This window comes from Homo sapiens, chromosome 9 (genome assembly GCF_000001405.40).
Source record: "Homo sapiens chromosome 9, GRCh38.p14 Primary Assembly".
In the NCBI taxonomy this organism is placed as follows: Eukaryota; Metazoa; Chordata; class Mammalia; order Primates; family Hominidae; genus Homo; species Homo sapiens.
Genome location: NC_000009.12, coordinates 81,920,744 through 81,940,798, shown reverse-complemented (window position 1 = coordinate 81,940,798; position 20,055 = coordinate 81,920,744). Strand labels below are relative to the sequence as shown.

The 20,055-nt window shown below is 42.3% G+C and overlaps 1 protein-coding gene and 1 long non-coding RNA gene across 3 annotated transcripts in view; one reads left to right on the top strand and one right to left on the bottom strand.

The window, feature by feature from the left end:
• LOC105376105 (uncharacterized) overlaps positions 1-20,055 on the top strand; it is a 91,092-nt gene that overhangs the window by 36,291 nt on the left and 34,746 nt on the right. For both annotated transcript variants that reach the window (NR_188610.1, NR_188611.1), the window contains exon 5: positions 9,405-9,690. This is a non-coding gene — a long non-coding RNA (uncharacterized LOC105376105). The remainder of the gene's footprint in view (positions 1-9,404; positions 9,691-20,055) is intronic.
• On the bottom strand, positions 5,801-12,371 carry SPATA31D4 (SPATA31 subfamily D member 4). Its single transcript, NM_001145197.1, has 4 exons — positions 12,100-12,371; positions 11,298-11,343; positions 10,639-10,699; positions 5,801-10,344 (listed from the first exon to the last, which is right to left on the bottom strand). Exons 1-4 carry the CDS (start codon positions 12,283-12,285, stop codon positions 7,884-7,886), a joined length of 2,754 nt encoding a protein of 917 aa, NP_001138669.1. The 5' UTR covers positions 12,286-12,371; the 3' UTR covers positions 5,801-7,883.

Genomic DNA, 20,055 nt, shown 5'->3' with positions numbered 1-20,055 from the left:
TAAATGATCCCAATATCCTCCACCCCTAACCCATCTTCCTACACATTCTTTTCTAAACTCTTTATCATGACAGCTGTCATCTGAACTGGCTCTTAACTTCTCATGTCTTTCTTAAACTATTGTTAAAGCAAACAAATATGGCTTGAGGACTCCATGCTTCTATATTTGAGTGCTTGCAGATGAATTGTAACCTAGCCTAATAGTTACACAAATTGAAAATCTAACTCAATAGTATGCACCTGTAACAATAGCTGAGTGTTGGCCAATCCCGGCAGCCATAATTCAACCACTCATAGACTGCTTAATGTTCAAACTGCATTCAAAAAGGCAAACGCCGAGTTGTAATCAATCTCACTCTTTCTGTACCTCTCACCTCTGATTCATGTACGTCACTTTGCCTTTTTGTCTATAAATTTGTTCTAACCACAAAGCACCCCTGGAGTCTCTGTGAATCTGCTGTGATTCTGGGGGCTGGACGATTCGCAAATCTTTCATTGCTCAGTTAAACTACTTTAAATTTAATTTCTCTGAAGTTTCTTTTAATACTATAAAGCTCCTTATTAGACACCCATGGGCCACCACAGTTACCCATGGGCCACCACTGTTACTGATCTCCTTTGAAAGGATAAGACAGCCTTCAAGCCAGGCCAGGTCTCCTTTCATTTATGCAAGAGCAGGTAACCTGCCTTGAGAATAAAATCTGCCAAGAGATGCCCCTTCCTCCTCTCTTTTATATGTAGCCTCAGCCAAGTTTTCATCTCATAAATATTTGCTGCTGGAAACTAGGAGACACAGGCATCTGTAAGCCACAGGCTCTGCCCTTGACCTCATGTGCCTATTTTATCAATGAATGAAACCGAAGCCCAGAGAGGGTAAGTGACTTCTCTAAATCAGACAGTAGTAAATATCAAAGCCCTAATGAATAAATTCTCTACATTCATAATGCTTCTACTTTACACATATTAATATGTAATTTCTTAAAGTAAAAAGTATGCCCTAATGTTAAAATAGTTAGATGCTTAAGAATATTCACTTTGTCTGTTAAATGCTGACAAATTTGGGAAGTAAGGGAAAAGCTATTTTTGGTACTCTATCACCTCTTAGATAACTTTTCCTTTCCACTCTTAGCATCAAAGTCTTCATAGTTTTTTTTTCCTAGCCCCCTCTTAAAATCTACATATGACTCCCAGTAATGTAGAAAATAAAAGTTTAAAATGTCATCCCTCCCAGGAAAACATTTCACACATTCTACGTATATCTATCCCCATGCCTTGTAATAAGCTCTTACCAAAGCATTTTAGGCAGCCTTTGGGAGGTGGCAGAGGTGGCTTCTGGTAGGATGGACTGTCTCACCATTGGCCCCATGACATCTTCTCAATTTACCTAAACCACCACCCAGAAGTCTGGTCTTGGATTTCACACTGCACTTGGTTTTATTATCTCCAAGGAGGAATCTTTTCCAAAAGCTCTTAGAGTAATATGTTACCACTTGAGGATGCTCAGTATAGATAAACTATTAGTTTAGGACTTTCATATGTTCCCAATTTCCTAGGACGTTTCCTCAATGCTCACGCCCTCACATCCTGACCACTGTCCCTGGAATAAGTCACTTGGAGGCAGCTGTTTTCAGGTTCCCCAAAAGCCTGAAGCAGAACAGGTTCTGAGCCAAAATCCTTTATAATTGTATTTTTAAACAGTAGTTTTATCCCAGCTCCTGGGGAGACCAAGGCAGGCGGAACACCTGAGGTCAGGAGTTCAAGACAAGCTTGGCCAACATGGTGAAATCCAGTCTCTACTAAAGATACAAAAATTTAACCAGGCATGGTGGGAGACACCTGTAATCCCAGTTACTTGGGAGGCCGAGGCAGGAGATTAGATTGAACCCAGAAGGGTAAGTTATAGTGAGACGAGATTACACCACTGTACTACAGCCTGGGCAACAGAGTGAAACTCTGTCCCAGAAAAATAAAAATAATAAAACAGTAGTCGTAAGATGTTCTTCATACATTCACACAACAAATATTTATTGAACTTTACTATGTAGTATTCCTACTACTGTAAAAATATCAGTAAAATAAGACATTGCCTCTGCCCTTGGACAGGTCATAGTACAGAAAGTGAGACCTGCAAACAAGTGTAATTAAATATGCTACAAAAAGCTGTAAAACAAGCAAAAATAATACACAATGGGAAGATAGATAAAGAAGTAGAATTCTTCTGCCAGGAGGAAGGGAAAACAGGGTTCAGGGAATACTTCAGAGAGTTGATGCCAACTCTCTGATGTTGGGCCTTGTGAGATATTAACAACCTCCTCTTCTTTTTTTTAACTGACTTTTATTTTTTACAGATATTTTATGTTGACAGCAAAAGTAAGTGGGAAAATTCCTATATACCAACTATCCCCACACAGGCACAGCTTCCCCAGTTGTCAACATCCCATACTAGAGTGGTACATTTGTTACACATCACTATTATCCAAAGTCCGTAGTTTACATTAACGTTCACTCTTGATGTTGTACATTCTGTGGGTTTTGACAAACGTATAATGACCCATATCCACTATTGTACTATCATGTAGAATAGTTCACTGCCCTAAAAATCCTCTGTGCTGTTTCTTCATCCCCCCCTCCCCACTAGCCCCTGACAACCATTGCCCTTTTTACTGCCTTCATAGTTTTGCCCATTTTCAAATGTCATATAGTTGGAATCATACACCCTTTTCAGATTGTATTCTTTCACTTAATAGTTTTCCTCCTTTTTTATGTTTTGCCAGTTTATTTCTTTTCAATGGCATATAATATTCCATTTTAGGATATACAAAAAAATTTACTTACCTACTGAAAGACATTTCTGTTGCTTCTAATTTTGCCAATTATGAATAAAGCTACTATATAAACTTTCTTTTTAAAAATTATTTATTGAAACATAATTTGTATACTATACAATTCACTCGCCAAAAGTATACCATTCAACAGTTTTTAGCATATTCACAGTTATGCATGTATCACCACAATCAATTTTAGAACATTTTCATCACCCCAAAAAGAAACTCTGCTTCACTTAGCCTTCACCCCTCAATATTTGCCTTCCTCCCTATGTTACCAGTAATCTACTTTCTGTCTCTATCTATTTTTCATTTCTAGACATTTCATCTAAATGGAATCATACAATATGTGGATTTTTGTGTCTGGCTTCTTACCATGATGTTTTCAAGGTCCGTTCATGTTGCAGCATGTATAGATACTTCATTTCTTTTTATGGACAAGTGACATCCCATTGTATGGATATATCACATTTTGTTTATCTATTGATTTAGTTGGTGAACATTTGGGTTGTTTTCACTTTGGGGCTATAATGCTGCTGATACAGTAGTTAAGAAGAAATTACCTAGGCAGATAATAAGGGTATGGGAGTCCTCAGTAAATCTTTTCTTTTTAATGAGAATCAGCCCCAAATCATTTTCTAACAAAGAGCAGCCTGTAAATTCGAGCTGCAGACATAGATAAGCAAGCTGGGAGCTTGCACAAGTGAATGCCAGCAGGAATTAGGGGACTAGACATGTTCAAGATGGTGGCTCCATCTTCTTTTCTCTGTCAGCCACATGTACAGTAAGGAGCAGACAAGATGGCACCGATCAACTGGAAAGCCCATTTGTGCAATAAGATTACGTTGGGGCAACCAGCCTTGCCTGTACACTATGTAAACATCATACCTGATTGAACCAATCTGTGAGCCCTATGGAAATCAGACACTGCCTCCTCAAACCTGACTATAAAATCTGGTGCATTCGCTGCCAGCCAGTCTTTTCCACTTGGAGACTTTTCTTGGTCTGTAGAGAGAGCTGTTTCTCTTTCTCTTATCTTCTGCCTATTAAACATCTGCTCCTAAACTCCTCGTGTGTGTCTGTGTTCTAAATTTTCCTGGCACAAGATGATGAACGCCAGGGCATATACCCCAGATAATGTAGCCCCTTCAAACTGGGGGCTCATGTCTGATACCAAGGTACAACCTTTATTGACATGGTGAATAGAGGAGCGGACTCCAACTCTGTCCCTTCATTTCAAGGCTCTCGGCCTTCATTTTAGAACCAAATCAAACCAAATACTGGGCCCCCTTCAGTCATTTTAAAACAATTAGCATGGCTGGCTGCCTTACAAGACTTAGGGGACAGGCTTACAGGGAAGAACATGGAGAATCCCCAGGCATCCATGGGTCGCTGATTCTCCACCTCCACAAGTTCTTTGCCCTGGACTTCATCCCAATTTTGTTCTCTTAAAGCCTTCCTGAAATCTGAATTATTTCTGCAATCCCAAACTTCAGACACTGCAGGGTCAGTGGCATACGCATGGACAGGAAAAGAGAAGGATGGTTGAGTGAGGGAGCTGTAGTGGACATCTGTTTTGATTTGTTTTGTTTTGCTTTTGTTTTGACACCAAGCATTCACAAATTTTTCTGGAAAACCTACCTCAAGTGCCCTCTAGAAAACTCACCTCATTTATTAGTCCCAGTCTGTATAAGTGGAGTTCCCTTCTCTTCAGACCTCTAATATTTTAAGGGTGCATATGTGCACACTCTTAGTCATAAGGAGCATTCTGTAAAGATTCATAGCTAGCCTCCAAATGTCTGTAATACTCATGCATAGTCAAGGACTCACCTCTGGATCATGAGCTTCAGGTGTTCTACACAATATTTATTATATTCCACTAACCCCATGAAGATCAGAGGTGACACATCCATCCTGAGGTGCACCGTATACATTAAGGGAAGATCTTGCATGTTGCCATCAACATGGCTAGAAAGAAGGCACAAAGATCACCTTCCCTAAAGAGAGGGATGCCATGTTGACAACAGCCCTGCAGATACTGTTTTACTCCTTAAAGAACAGCCCCATGTACACTTCTGCCAAAATGGCATCTGTCAGCTCTTCAGTGCCCTGGTAATCCTCAAGGTGGTGGTACCTAGATCCAGATTGAGAAAGGGTCATGATATGGGCATGATGGGGCATAAACCTTTTTCGACTAGCATGGTCATCCTTTCCTAGCTTCACTTTTTTCTTACTTTCTCATTCAAAGACATATTTTCCTTACTGTAAGCTATATTTTACCCTAGGAGGTAGGTGGTTGTCTGGTCAGCAGTCCTGCCACAGACAGCCAGGTGATCTTTTTGCTCTGTAAAAATGTCATCAATCCAGGTAGCATAGAGAAATACACAGGGAGGGGAACTACTTTCCCAAGTGACTTATTAGTAGAAAGACCTCAACGTTGAGGTCAAAATATGCCTCCCTAAATCATGAGCATGCCCTGCTTGTCAAATTCTTAAGCAGCATCCACAGTGTTCCTGACACCCTACCCCAACCAGCAATACCCTAAACACTCCCACCAACTTATATGATCCTGTGGTCAGTGACAACTTTTTTTAAATAGTGATTAAACCACTATTTCTGAAAAATGTATCTGTCCTTCACTCTCTCTTCAGATATGGAAGGGCTGCCTTCCTTACTGCTCTAAAGGATATGAAGCAGTGAATGGGGAGGAAGGTGCAGGCTGCCATACGGTATCAGTAAGTCTAAAGCAAAGAGGTAGAAAAGAGCCCATCTCCTCAGACTTGATCAGGGAGAAAAGGGGCTTTTGGAGGCACATGATACTCATTCCTTCACACTAGTTCCAGGGGATTGGTCACCTTTTAAAAGTCAAAAGAGGGAGTCAGTAAGAGCTGAGCTAACTCCTACCTTTCCCTAAGCACAAGCTTGGGTTACCCAAAACCTATACCTCCCAACACAGTACACAGAAAAGACACCAATCTTATTAGAACATTTATTAGGGAGAATCAAGATTCTCAACAAGTAGTGAATTATTTTGTGGGGGGAGATTTGCCTCCCTGCAAATACTTCCAATGCATTTTGTGTCCAGTTAGTAAAGGCACATCACTGAACACAGTGCTTTTGCCACTAATTGGGACAGCTGGACACACCAGGGTGACTTGACGCTGACAAGTGGGGTTTAGATGTGGCACAGGATCCCTGTGGGGCATGGATTGGGGATGCCTTTGATACAATATCTTCCCCTTAAATGCCTCAACTTCCTGGGGCTGTCTGTCCTTGTCTATGATCTGTCTAATCCTTGTAGGATAATTCTGTCCAACAAAGATAGCTTGTTGGCTGCAAGATTTGGTACATGTCACTTTGCGGGAGGGAGCTGTGTAGTTGCGGGGATAGCCCTGGAAGGGCTCTGCTCTGACCTGCACTTCTGGGTTGTGCTGAGCTTTCCCAAGCTCCACTGGGAAGGAAAAGGGTTCTTAGGGACAGGTGATATCTATCCCATGGCTATGCCCCAGCTTTTCTTCTAGGAACTCCCCAGTGTCTTTCCTAATTTTCTGAGCTTCAGTAGCACCAGTAAAAGCAGCTCTACTTGTAACTCGACTTCTATTCTGCACAGATGATGACAGGGAGCTACCCTTTTCCCAAGAACTTTCTTGTTCTTCACACATTATGCTAGGTTTATTAAACCACTGCAATAAGGTCTGCATCCATTTTCTGAAAAGGTTTTCAGAAGGAGGCTGTGTTTTCAAGGTTGGGGAAGATTTGCTCCCAGGCACCTCTCCTGATGCCTTGTTATGAACAGGGAGGCTCTTTCTAGTGAGTTGGGATGTCCCCAACCCTGCATCCCCTCCACCAAGCTCTCCTCCATTGGGTCTTAAAGGGCTCACTCTCTTTGTAGCTGGTGAAAAATTCTTAACTTGGCATTTCTGTAAGACATGCGTAGGGACCCTGTGCTCCTGCTGCTGTGCCACACGGATTCCTCTGACCTCCAAGTGGACATGCAGCACCTGGGAAGTTCCCAAGTCCTGATTCGAGATGCCCTGGGCATGAGTCAGTAAGTCCTTGGAACTCAAGTTATCTAAGGCAAGAGACATGCCAGTGAAATGGCTCTGAGGTTGGCTATGCTTCCTCTGGACCAACTTTAACTGGCTCAACATCTGATTTTTAAGATATGATGATTTAGGAGTTTGAGGAACTGATATTCTTGGTGGGAAAATTTCAGTTTCATGAGAAGTGCTTCTTTTCACGTTTGTCACTAAGCAGCTTCCTGACTTGCTGGTTGTCAAGTTGTTCCTAGTTTGTGATTGAAGAGTACAGATCTCCTCTTCCTTGAACATCTCCTTCGACCCATTGGTGACAGGAAAGGTCTTTCTACTGCCCTGAAGCCTGTTAACATTATTACTGGCACTCTCTCTCTTATCCCTTGAATCACGGCCAACTCCAGCTTGCAGTATGGGCAGCTCTGCACTGCATCTACTGGCAAGTACAGTCTGTTTCTGACTGACTTCGTCTATGATGCTGTGTGTGGGGGGCAGAAAAGTCTGTCTGCCATCCTCAGTTGTCCAGACACTTTCTGTAAGATCCTCGTCAGTATCAGCGAATTCTCTTCTGAGGGTCCCCTGCTTTTCTTGATCAACAGGTGAGGTGACGAGGTGAGGATGACCCAAGATGGAGAATGAGCTTGTTGTTTCTAATTTTTCTCCTTGAAAATATGTAGTGCCTCTTCTAAGGGGCGTGGAGGCACCATCTTTGGCATCTGTCTCTATAAGGTCATGGTCAGTATCAGAAAATTGTCTTCTCAGGGTCCCCTGCCCTTCTTTGCCAATAGGTGAGGAGACAGGCTGAGGATGATTAAGGACAGGGACTGAGCTTGTTGTTCCCAACTTTTCTCCTTGAAAAGTGCTTCGTCTATGAGACTTAGAGACCCCATCTTTGGAATCTCCCTGAGAAATAAAGCTGGCTGAGGAGGGAAGGTAGAAATGGGAAAAGGAATTGGAAATATCCTCTTCTGATTTGAAGATTTCTATGGGTTCACGGATCTTGCGGGGAAGGCCCCACAGCATCCTCATATGGAAAGATTTAATATGGGCTTCATATGGAAAGATTTAATATGGGCTTCCAACATCTTTTGTTTGTTGGAACTAAGGAAGGACATCTCCTGGGAGGTATCAACGCCGTGGTCCTCACTCACCAATGCTGCCAAATTTCGATGTTTAATTTGGCTGTGGGATTTCTCAGGAAGACATATTGTCTGCTTGACTGAGTGCCATGAACTATGCACAGTCCCAGGCATTCGACCCTCATTGATTTCCTCAAATTTCTTGCTCAAATGTACTGTCAGGGCATTTTCAAGTTGTTTCTGACCTAGTCTCACCCCTGAATCATTCCCTGACAGATGCATCATATGAGTTCCTAGGTCTCTCTCAGAGTTAGACCTCAGATCCTCGTCTGAAGATGTCTCCGGATCATGCAAGAGATGGTTTTTTGGGGCAGTCTCCTGGCTGCATCCCTGATAATTCCCCACATTCTCCATGGAAAGCATATTTGAGCTCCTCTCGTGGAAGCTTCTAGGGAAGCTTGATGCGGACTTCTTTAGAACATTGCACCTCTGACCCTCAACCAAAGAGATATTTAATGGACCATGAATGCTCTCTGACACAGATAGCTCTGAAATTTTGTTCTGAGGACGTAGCAATGACAGAGACTCATGGATTCTGCGGGGCAGGCCCCATCTGCGCTGGATGAGCCTCTTTCGAATGTGTTGCTCTAGTTTCTTCCTTACCTCAGAGCTGAGTGGAAAATCTCCAGGAATGATGGAGATGGGAACATGGACCTTGAAGGACTTTCTGACCAATACAGGATTGGGAGCTGGAGGACAAAAGTCTTCCTGGGATTTTTGAACCACAGAGGGTAAACCCCACACACTTTCCTGCACTTTCTGCAACACGTTCCACTCCAGATGATTAATTTCAGATGGCATAAGAGACCGTGCCTCATTCTGGGGTCTATGAAAACACACGCCACACACCCTAATCAGGAATAGAGGACTAGGTGGTAGGGCTGGGAATGGAGATTGAGGTTGAGCCAGGGACTTCACCTGAGTGAGATGTAGGGACTGACCTCGGGGCAGGGTTTGAGGCAAGGGTAGAGGTTGGGTACTAGGCAAGAACAGAGGTTGGGGAGGGGGAAGTACTGGGGATTCATGGGACATAGATGTATTTGTAATGCCATTGAAGAATACAAACATGGAGGAACGGCCATGTTGGACAAAAACAGTAGGATGCAGAGACTCGCTGTGCAAAGATGGGAGACCCCAGAAGAGCTGGACATATTTTTGCTCTAAATGGTCCTCAAAACACTTAGAATATGGGGGCTGCTGATGGATGTGCTGCCACTCTAGTTTGCCTTTACTGGCCCAAAAAGGAAAGGATTCTGCTAAGTCATGCTTAACAGCAGTTGAGGTTAACATATTCCGTGAGGAATTTAGTTGGTAGTTTGGCCTAAGTTGTGTTGGGAATGATCCTGGTTTCTTTCCATTTTCTTTCCACATCAGGAAATCACCCCTTCTTTTGACTTGTCTCTCCAGGAGTGCCGGAATGTCATGGCTGAGAAAAGAGATGTTAACAGGCTGTATGATGTTGGCCACAGAGTGCCCCCCTAAAGAGGCCTCAGAAGAATGAAGGGTAAGAAGCTCCTCCATGAAATCAGATGGCACAAAATTAGAGGAAAAAGAGTCCTTGGCATGAGGCTGCCACCAGGAGAATTCTGAAGATGCAGGGCATGAATGGTCAATGCCTTTCGTTGTTGGGGCAGAGGTGGATGACCCACCAGAGCCACCTAGAGATAACATTTCCGGAAAAGTCTTCAAGACGGTGAGATTTGATTTAGACTGAGTCACAGTGCAATCTTCCGGTGGTAAAGCAGATGGGGTTGGTGGTCCATGATGACGAGCACATGAATCAGTGCGATTCACGGCCTGGGAAATATCTTGGCATAGGGTGGAGCCAAATGAAAAGATGGTGTTCAGAGACAAACTGGCCTCAGGTTGGAGGCTGGGCTCCACTCTCTCAATGTGATGTGGTGGGAGAAGGGGAAAGGGAAGCTGTTGGGGTGGGGAATGGTCTATGGGGAACTTGGAATCCAAGGGAGAAACAGGCTGTGGTGGCAGAGGGTCCCTCAGTGGTGAGGGTGAAAATAAGTCAGCTAAGGTGGTGATCAGGTCAGGTGAGAGAATTAAGGGGGGTGGTGGAGAGGGCTTAGGCCGAGAGGACAATATTAGGTCTTCTGGAGTGGTTGCTGAGGGGGTGGAAGCCAGAGTGAACGATGACTCAGCCCCAGAAGCTGAAGAAGCCAAAGGGGACACAGAGGGAGCAGCATCTTTCAGGGACTCCCAAGACAGCAGTCGCTGGATATCAGCAGTTGCTCTGTTACACACCCGACAGACAGGGTCTGGGCATAACAGTCGACGAAAGAGGGTGGTATCATGATGCTGGCCCAGGGGACTGCAGGAAACAGGAGGTCCAAAGCTGCAGCCAGGATCAGAACAAGGAAATGAGGATCTGTTAGCCTGGCAGGGGTGGGGCCCCCTGAATCCTGCTTCACATTACCCCCCATCCATGAGCTCACCGTATGTGAGGTCATATGACCTCACTATAGCCTCTCCTCAAAGCATTCATTCACATATCCGTTCCTATGGCTACCCACTCCCAAAACTACAGCAGGCTACAAGGAATCCCTGAAATGAATAGAACATGCAAAAAAAAAAAAAAAAAAAAAAAAGAAGGCGGTGGGAACAGGATAGAAGGGGAATGATTAATCACCTTTTCAGAAAAGAATGTAGCTTTCTTTCCTCTTCTGCTTCCTTCTGCAAACTTTTCCGGTCTGGAAACCAGAACAGCATGTTACATGCAATGAAGGTAGAGGCACAGGGATCATACAGAAGTAACTCTGTGGAAGACCCTTGGGATATTAAACTCTGATAGCCCCAAGAATCAGTAGAAAAGGGCAAATATTCATTGATAATGTTCACAAGTTCACATGTGTATGTGGAATCATTAGTAGAATTCTTTCATATACATTATCCCATGTGATGCTCAAAACCACCACGTGAAACATAGACATCAGTGGTTACCTCCAGGAGGAATCCGAGCATCAAGGAAGTCAAAGTACTTATGCAAAGTTGTAAGACAGAAACTCTGACTCCAAGCCAACCAGTAGTCCTTCCTCGATATCTCAGGTGGCCACCAATTGGGCAACACCCATTACTCAGGTCCATCACTTTGTCATGCCCATGAATGGGCAGAGCAGGGCCTATGAGCAGTGTCTCAGGTCTGATTGATTTCCCACGAGCCTGTCTTCTGAGGGCTCTGTTTTCTGAGACTATCTAGTAACTGACATTCTAAGAAATCATGGGACTGAGTCCTCATGAAAGAGACAGAAAGGGTCACCCTGAAGCTCAGATAGAATAGGCTGACATTACCTTTAAATGTCACGCTTTTTCTTTTCCTCCTGGCTCTGCCCTGATGCTGAGAATGAAACAAAGATAATGACAGGCTGGTACTCACTTCTCTCACACTCTTTGAAGCTCATTCATTCATTCATTCATTCATTCATTATACAAGAATGATATGACTCTCTAATTAATAGAAATATATTCTTGTTATCAATTTTTAAAGGTCATAAAATATTTCTTGTTTTCCCTTCTCTGAAAAGCTGAAAGAGGATTTCTTCTGTGAGAGCCACACTTGATGTGCTCAGTTAGAAGTCCTCATCCAGGGCACAGACTCAGAGGTCGACAGTCACATCTGTGCTCCCTCACAGGGCAAGCATCCCAGAGACAGAGCTCTGGCTCCAGCCTCTGCTCAGAGACTCTCAGCGTTACTCCCCTGGTCAGCCCAACAAGAAGGAAGGCTTTGTTGAATGACGGGTGACATGGGAATCTGACTCATGATCAAATTTCAGCAGAGACTATTCTCCTTCAGAGAGCCCAGACTCTCTAAATAATCCCACCTGGGACCACAGAATTACTGTTTGGGATTTTATCCTGGAACTCTCCACCACAGCCGGATAGGTAGTCTATGAGCTACAGATGGAAACCTTTGTCCTCCTGAACCCCTACATCTGCCCAACCTGTTCCACAGAAGAGTGAAGTTCTATCCTCTCTTCAGACTTCCCATCTAAGACATGTCTCTGTACTAACCAAACTTATTTAGAAATGTGGGAATAGGATTCGGAAACAAAAACAGGGCATCTCTCTTGGGTGTTCACCCACAGTTCCTTACCTTTTGGGTGTCATTATTTTTTTCGGTGGGTGATGAATACAGGGTCAATACCATGTAGAACAAGTACAGTATAAACAACCCCAACCCACTCAAGCAGATGAAGTTGAGGTCAATATCCAAACAATGTGAGTCAGGGCTCAGCCCTGTCTCAGTATAGCTGTTCAGAAAACAGAGGATATTCTCCATGGTCTGAATAGCTCAGCTGCCTGAAGCAACTGAGCACTGAGGGTGCCCAGGCTTAACTGTAAGCACAGGCCTGCATCACAGAGCGTGGAAGAGTCACAGAGGGTTTCTGAGGGTGGAGGGATCAACAAGAGGAGGGTGTGTCCACAGCCCCAACCCCACCAGCCCAGCTGACTCCACCTTCCTGGGCCCTCTAGGTCGCTCTGTCCTACCCTAACACTCCATTTCCCAACTCCATCCTTTTTCAAGTCATATATTTATCTTAGTTGAATTTTCCGTTTGTTCCAACAGTAAACCAGGCATTACCCAAGTCCCACTTCGCTGTTTGGAGCCCTTAACTTGGACCCCACCAACTACACTGCCTTGAAAGCCTGAAATACTGCCTGGAATATTTGTTGTACCCAGGCTTTTCTACTCTCAGGATCACATATGTCCTCAAATCCGTCTTATCTACAGTATGTTTTTGCCTTACATAAATGCAGATATAAAACTTAAACTTCCTTTATTCTTACTTCGTTTCGTGAATGGTGAACATTACATTCTTTGTTTGAAGTCAGTTTTTACTATTTCCAATCAGAGGGACTGACTCAAATGATTAAAACTAACGTTATCAAGGAAAAGAAGCTCCCTGCCCAATTTGATTTTTTTGAGAAAAGATGTTTTTATTGGAAATTAACCAAAAAGGAGACAGGAGTCCAGCTCAAATCAGTCCTGTGTGCTGGCTTTCATGCAGTCATTTTATTAGAAAACATTTAGGGAGTGGCCTCTGGAATTAATAGTTGATTGCTGGAAGGAAAGGGGAGGTCTGAAAATCCTCGGCATGCACAGTTTTCTTTAACGCTGCCTCATGTATTCCATGGGCACATTTGTGGGGAGTTGGTTAAAATGTGGCAGAAATTTGGGCTGTGACGCCAGCCAGCTTGTTCTGTGCAAACTCCAGTTGGCCTTAATAGTTTTAATCCATTTTAGCCAGTTTTTAAATCTCAGAAGCAGGGAGAGTTTCGGCATTTTAGCAAGTTACTGTTGTTGTTTTTGTTTGATCTCCTTTCTTGTAAACTGATTAATTTCATTAGTCATTGTTTTCTTCAACTCTCTGGGGCATGGTTTCACTAATAATGCATTATTTAACATCTACAAAATGAAAATAAGTGTACAATAAATGTATATAATTGAAACTTCCAGGGACCTTAGGGGTAAATTTATAGAACTTATTTTTCTCAAGTTAGTGAAGTTTAAACTGTTCAAGCACTTTTGGAACATACTCTGTACACAAACACACATACGCATCGACCTAAAAGGGAGAAGTTGATGGAAAATTATTATAAGTAGAGAGTTAATTTGGGTCAAGCTTGAGGATTGCAACCTGGGAACACAGATGCAAGTCAGCCTAAATATACACTCCAATTACCAGTAGTTATGAGTGGGTTTTTAAAGTGGAAAAAGGGGACAAGGAGTCGGCTGATACAAAGTTGTAATCAGGAATTCTCATTGGTTTACAGGAGTGACATTGCTTAGTGATTGGCTGTACATTATTAAGCTATAGGGGGTGGGTTATCCTGTCAGGTGTGGCATTATTGGGTTACTATATAGCTCCATATGGCAATAGCAAGCAGTTTCAAGAGATGAATGTGTAGCTCAAGGAGGAAATAAGGCTGTGATTTCTGTCTCATTTTAATGTCTCTCTAGGCCTGATAACTTAAAAGGACTCACATGCCTCAGATAAAAGTTCTTTTCTTTACAAACACATCCACACACCCATCCTGTGACAAATCAATGAGTGTTTTCAAATCCAGAATCAATTAGTTCCTCCTTTTATTTTAATTTCTTATTTGTCATTTTGACCCCACATTTTCTAACTCTACCGCAAACACAACCAGGCCCAACCCTCCACATCACTTTGGTGGCAAGTATGCAACTCCCTTAAAGCAGGGATAGGTTACAGTGCGCTAAGCTATTGTGATCTAAAAGACCAAAATAGATGCCCCTTTATCAACTAAGACAGACCCTTAGGTTAAGGAAACAAAGTTACCGATGGGTCAAGGGTTCAGGGCCTGGATGGCATGGCAAATTTCTAACTTTCTATAACTAAACTCCCTCTCACCAAATGAGCTATCGGCTCTGATTGGACAGAGGACCGGCCTTACAAACATTCTTTTCTGATAAGCTACTAATATTAGAGATTTCCAGTTTCTGCCAGATTATAGAGGCGGCACACAAACCGCCTCTGTCCTACAGTTCACCTTATCATGTAAAGGGCCAAATTCTACCTCATTTTAGTGCTAAAACCAAGGTGAACATGGGATGTATGTTACATATGTTTACTCATTATGGTGTGCTTGGCTCCTGCATAAATATATATAGCTTTTCCCCCAAACTTATTGAATATGTATGAATATGAATATAAAACCCAACCTGTCCTTCCCCTATTCCAACAGACAGCAGCTTTATTCCACACTGGATGCTTTCCCTTCCTGGCTTGCAAACTGATTAAGCAATAAGGCTCTCCTTTCTACTATTTAGTCATCTTGGTGCTCTTTTGGATGATACTACTGATCCCATCAGTGTTTGGTAGCAGAGTGAGACTTAGGTGTGTCAAAGCCTTAGAGCAGAACGTAGTCTTAAGCAACCTCACCTGACTACACTGTGGGCCATGTAAATGTGATCTTTTCCTGAGTGCCTTGGCATCCAAAAAACTTGAGAACATCTGCTTTATATTCTATATAATCACTTCTGCAAATGTCCAAATACCAACTACCTGTCATACTTTATTCAGGTGACTCCTGTCAGGTTTAAATGATCCCAATATCCTCCACCCCTAACCCATCTTCCTACACATTCTTTTCTAAACTCTTTATCATGACAGCTGTCATCTGAACTGGCTCTTAACTTCTCATGTCTTTCTTAAACTATTGTTAAAGCAAACAAATATGGCTTGAGGACTCCATGCTTCTATATTTGAGTGCTTGCAGATGAATTGTAACCTAGCCTAATAGTTACACAAATTGAAAATCTAACTCAATAGTATGCACCTGTAACAATAGCTGAGTGTTGGCCAATCCCGGCAGCCATAATTCAACCACTCATAGACTGCTTAATGTTCAAACTGCATTCAAAAAGGCAAACGCCGAGTTGTAATCAATCTCACTCTTTCTGTACCTCTCACCTCTGATTCATGTACGTCACTTTGCCTTTTTGTCTATAAATTTGTTCTAACCACAAAGCACCCCTGGAGTCTCTGTGAATCTGCTGTGATTCTGGGGGCTGGACGATTCGCAAATCTTTCATTGCTCAGTTAAACTACTTTAAATTTAATTTCTCTGAAGTTTCTTTTAATACTATAAAGCTCCTTATTAGACACCCATGGGCCACCACAGTTACCCATGGGCCACCACTGTTACTGATCTCCTTTGAAAGGATAAGACAGCCTTCAAGCCAGGCCAGGTCTCCTTTCATTTATGCAAGAGCAGGTAACCTGCCTTGAGAATAAAATCTGCCAAGAGATGCCCCTTCCTCCTCTCTTTTATATGTAGCCTCAGCCAAGTTTTCATCTCATAAATATTTGCTGCTGGAAACTAGGAGACACAGGCATCTGTAAGCCACAGGCTCTGCCCTTGACCTCATGTGCCTATTTTATCAATGAATGAAACCGAAGCCCAGAGAGGGTAAGTGACTTCTCTAAATCAGACAGTAGTAAATATCAAAGCCCTAATGAATAAATTCTCTACATTCATAATGCTTCTACTTTACACATATTAATATGTAATTTCTTAAAGTAAAAAGTATGCCCTAATGTTAAAATAGTTAGATGCTTAAGAATATTCACTTTGTCTGTTAAATGCTGACAAATTTGGGAAGTAAGGGAAAAGCTATTTTTGGTACTCTATCACCTCTTAGATAACTTTTCCTTTCCACTCTTAGCATCAAAGTCTTCATAGTTTTTTTTTCCTAGCCCCCTCTTAAAATCTACATATGACTCCCAGTAATGTAGAAAATAAAAGTTTAAAATGTCATCCCTCCCAGGAAAACATTTCACACATTCTACGTATATCTATCCCCATGCCTTGTAATAAGCTCTTACCAAAGCATTTTAGGCAGCCTTTGGGAGGTGGCAGAGGTGGCTTCTGGTAGGATGGACTGTCTCACCATTGGCCCCATGACATCTTCTCAATTTACCTAAACCACCACCCAGAAGTCTGGTCTTGGATTTCACACTGCACTTGGTTTTATTATCTCCAAGGAGGAATCTTTTCCAAAAGCTCTTAGAGTAATATGTTACCACTTGAGGATGCTCAGTATAGATAAACTATTAGTTTAGGACTTTCATATGTTCCCAATTTCCTAGGACGTTTCCTCAATGCTCACGCCCTCACATCCTGACCACTGTCCCTGGAATAAGTCACTTGGAGGCAGCTGTTTTCAGGTTCCCCAAAAGCCTGAAGCAGAACAGGTTCTGAGCCAAAATCCTTTATAATTGTATTTTTAAACAGTAGTTTTATCCCAGCTCCTGGGGAGACCAAGGCAGGCGGAACACCTGAGGTCAGGAGTTCAAGACAAGCTTGGCCAACATGGTGAAATCCAGTCTCTACTAAAGATACAAAAATTTAACCAGGCATGGTGGGAGACACCTGTAATCCCAGTTACTTGGGAGGCCGAGGCAGGAGATTAGATTGAACCCAGAAGGGTAAGTTATAGTGAGACGAGATTACACCACTGTACTACAGCCTGGGCAACAGAGTGAAACTCTGTCCCAGAAAAATAAAAATAATAAAACAGTAGTCGTAAGATGTTCTTCATACATTCACACAACAAATATTTATTGAACTTTACTATGTAGTATTCCTACTACTGTAAAAATATCAGTAAAATAAGACATTGCCTCTGCCCTTGGACAGGTCATAGTACAGAAAGTGAGACCTGCAAACAAGTGTAATTAAATATGCTACAAAAAGCTGTAAAACAAGCAAAAATAATACACAATGGGAAGATAGATAAAGAAGTAGAATTCTTCTGCCAGGAGGAAGGGAAAACAGGGTTCAGGGAATACTTCAGAGAGTTGATGCCAACTCTCTGATGTTGGGCCTTGTGAGATATTAACAACCTCCTCTTCTTTTTTTTAACTGACTTTTATTTTTTACAGATATTTTATGTTGACAGCAAAAGTAAGTGGGAAAATTCCTATATACCAACTATCCCCACACAGGCACAGCTTCCCCAGTTGTCAACATCCCATACTAGAGTGGTACATTTGTTACACATCACTATTATCCAAAGTCCGTAGTTTACATTAACGTTCACTCTTGATGTTGTACATTCTGTGGGTTTTGACAAACGTATAATGACCCATATCCACTATTGTACTATCATGTAGAATAGTTCACTGCCCTAAAAATCCTCTGTGCTGTTTCTTCATCCCCCCCTCCCCACTAGCCCCTGACAACCATTGCCCTTTTTACTGCCTTCATAGTTTTGCCCATTTTCAAATGTCATATAGTTGGAATCATACACCCTTTTCAGATTGTATTCTTTCACTTAATAGTTTTCCTCCTTTTTTATGTTTTGCCAGTTTATTTCTTTTCAATGGCATATAATATTCCATTTTAGGATATACAAAAAAATTTACTTACCTACTGAAAGACATTTCTGTTGCTTCTAATTTTGCCAATTATGAATAAAGCTACTATATAAACTTTCTTTTTAAAAATTATTTATTGAAACATAATTTGTATACTATACAATTCACTCGCCAAAAGTATACCATTCAACAGTTTTTAGCATATTCACAGTTATGCATGTATCACCACAATCAATTTTAGAACATTTTCATCACCCCAAAAAGAAACTCTGCTTCACTTAGCCTTCACCCCTCAATATTTGCCTTCCTCCCTATGTTACCAGTAATCTACTTTCTGTCTCTATCTATTTTTCATTTCTAGACATTTCATCTAAATGGAATCATACAATATGTGGATTTTTGTGTCTGGCTTCTTACCATGATGTTTTCAAGGTCCGTTCATGTTGCAGCATGTATAGATACTTCATTTCTTTTTATGGACAAGTGACATCCCATTGTATGGATATATCACATTTTGTTTATCTATTGATTTAGTTGGTGAACATTTGGGTTGTTTTCACTTTGGGGCTATAATGCTGCTGATACAGTAGTTAAGAAGAAATTACCTAGGCAGATAATAAGGGTATGGGAGTCCTCAGTAAATCTTTTCTTTTTAATGAGAATCAGCCCCAAATCATTTTCTAACAAAGAGCAGCCTGTAAATTCGAGCTGCAGACATAGATAAGCAAGCTGGGAGCTTGCACAAGTGAATGCCAGCAGGAATTAGGGGACTAGACATGTTCAAGATGGTGGCTCCATCTTCTTTTCTCTGTCAGCCACATGTACAGTAAGGAGCAGACAAGATGGCACCGATCAACTGGAAAGCCCATTTGTGCAATAAGATTACGTTGGGGCAACCAGCCTTGCCTGTACACTATGTAAACATCATACCTGATTGAACCAATCTGTGAGCCCTATGGAAATCAGACACTGCCTCCTCAAACCTGACTATAAAATCTGGTGCATTCGCTGCCAGCCAGTCTTTTCCACTTGGAGACTTTTCTTGGTCTGTAGAGAGAGCTGTTTCTCTTTCTCTTATCTTCTGCCTATTAAACATCTGCTCCTAAACTCCTCGTGTGTGTCTGTGTTCTAAATTTTCCTGGCACAAGATGATGAACGCCAGGGCATATACCCCAGATAATGTAGCCCCTTCAAACTGGGGGCTCATGTCTGATACCAAGGTACAACCTTTATTGACATGGTGAATAGAGGAGCGGACTCCAACTCTGTCCCTTCATTTCAAGGCTCTCGGCCTTCATTTTAGAACCAAATCAAACCAAATACTGGGCCCCCTTCAGTCATTTTAAAACAATTAGCATGGCTGGCTGCCTTACAAGACTTAGGGGACAGGCTTACAGGGAAGAACATGGAGAATCCCCAGGCATCCATGGGTCGCTGATTCTCCACCTCCACAAGTTCTTTGCCCTGGACTTCATCCCAATTTTGTTCTCTTAAAGCCTTCCTGAAATCTGAATTATTTCTGCAATCCCAAACTTCAGACACTGCAGGGTCAGTGGCATACGCATGGACAGGAAAAGAGAAGGATGGTTGAGTGAGGGAGCTGTAGTGGACATCTGTTTTGATTTGTTTTGTTTTGCTTTTGTTTTGACACCAAGCATTCACAAATTTTTCTGGAAAACCTACCTCAAGTGCCCTCTAGAAAACTCACCTCATTTATTAGTCCCAGTCTGTATAAGTGGAGTTCCCTTCTCTTCAGACCTCTAATATTTTAAGGGTGCATATGTGCACACTCTTAGTCATAAGGAGCATTCTGTAAAGATTCATAGCTAGCCTCCAAATGTCTGTAATACTCATGCATAGTCAAGGACTCACCTCTGGATCATGAGCTTCAGGTGTTCTACACAATATTTATTATATTCCACTAACCCCATGAAGATCAGAGGTGACACATCCATCCTGAGGTGCACCGTATACATTAAGGGAAGATCTTGCATGTTGCCATCAACATGGCTAGAAAGAAGGCACAAAGATCACCTTCCCTAAAGAGAGGGATGCCATGTTGACAACAGCCCTGCAGATACTGTTTTACTCCTTAAAGAACAGCCCCATGTACACTTCTGCCAAAATGGCATCTGTCAGCTCTTCAGTGCCCTGGTAATCCTCAAGGTGGTGGTACCTAGATCCAGATTGAGAAAGGGTCA

Excerpts from the sequence above, each read along its gene's own strand:
- SPATA31D4 (NM_001145197.1), bottom strand. The coding sequence starts at position 12,285 with ATGGAGAATATCCTCTGTTTTCTGAACAGCTATACTGAGACAGGGCTG. Across the intron at positions 11,344-12,099 it reads AAAATAATGACACCCAAAAG|CATCAGGGCAGAGCCAGGAG; the intron begins GTAAGGAACTGT and ends TTTCATTCTCAG. Across the intron at positions 10,345-10,638 it reads CTACATTCTTTTCTGAAAAG|CTTTGGACCTCCTGTTTCCT; the intron begins GTGATTAATCAT and ends TCCTGGCTGCAG.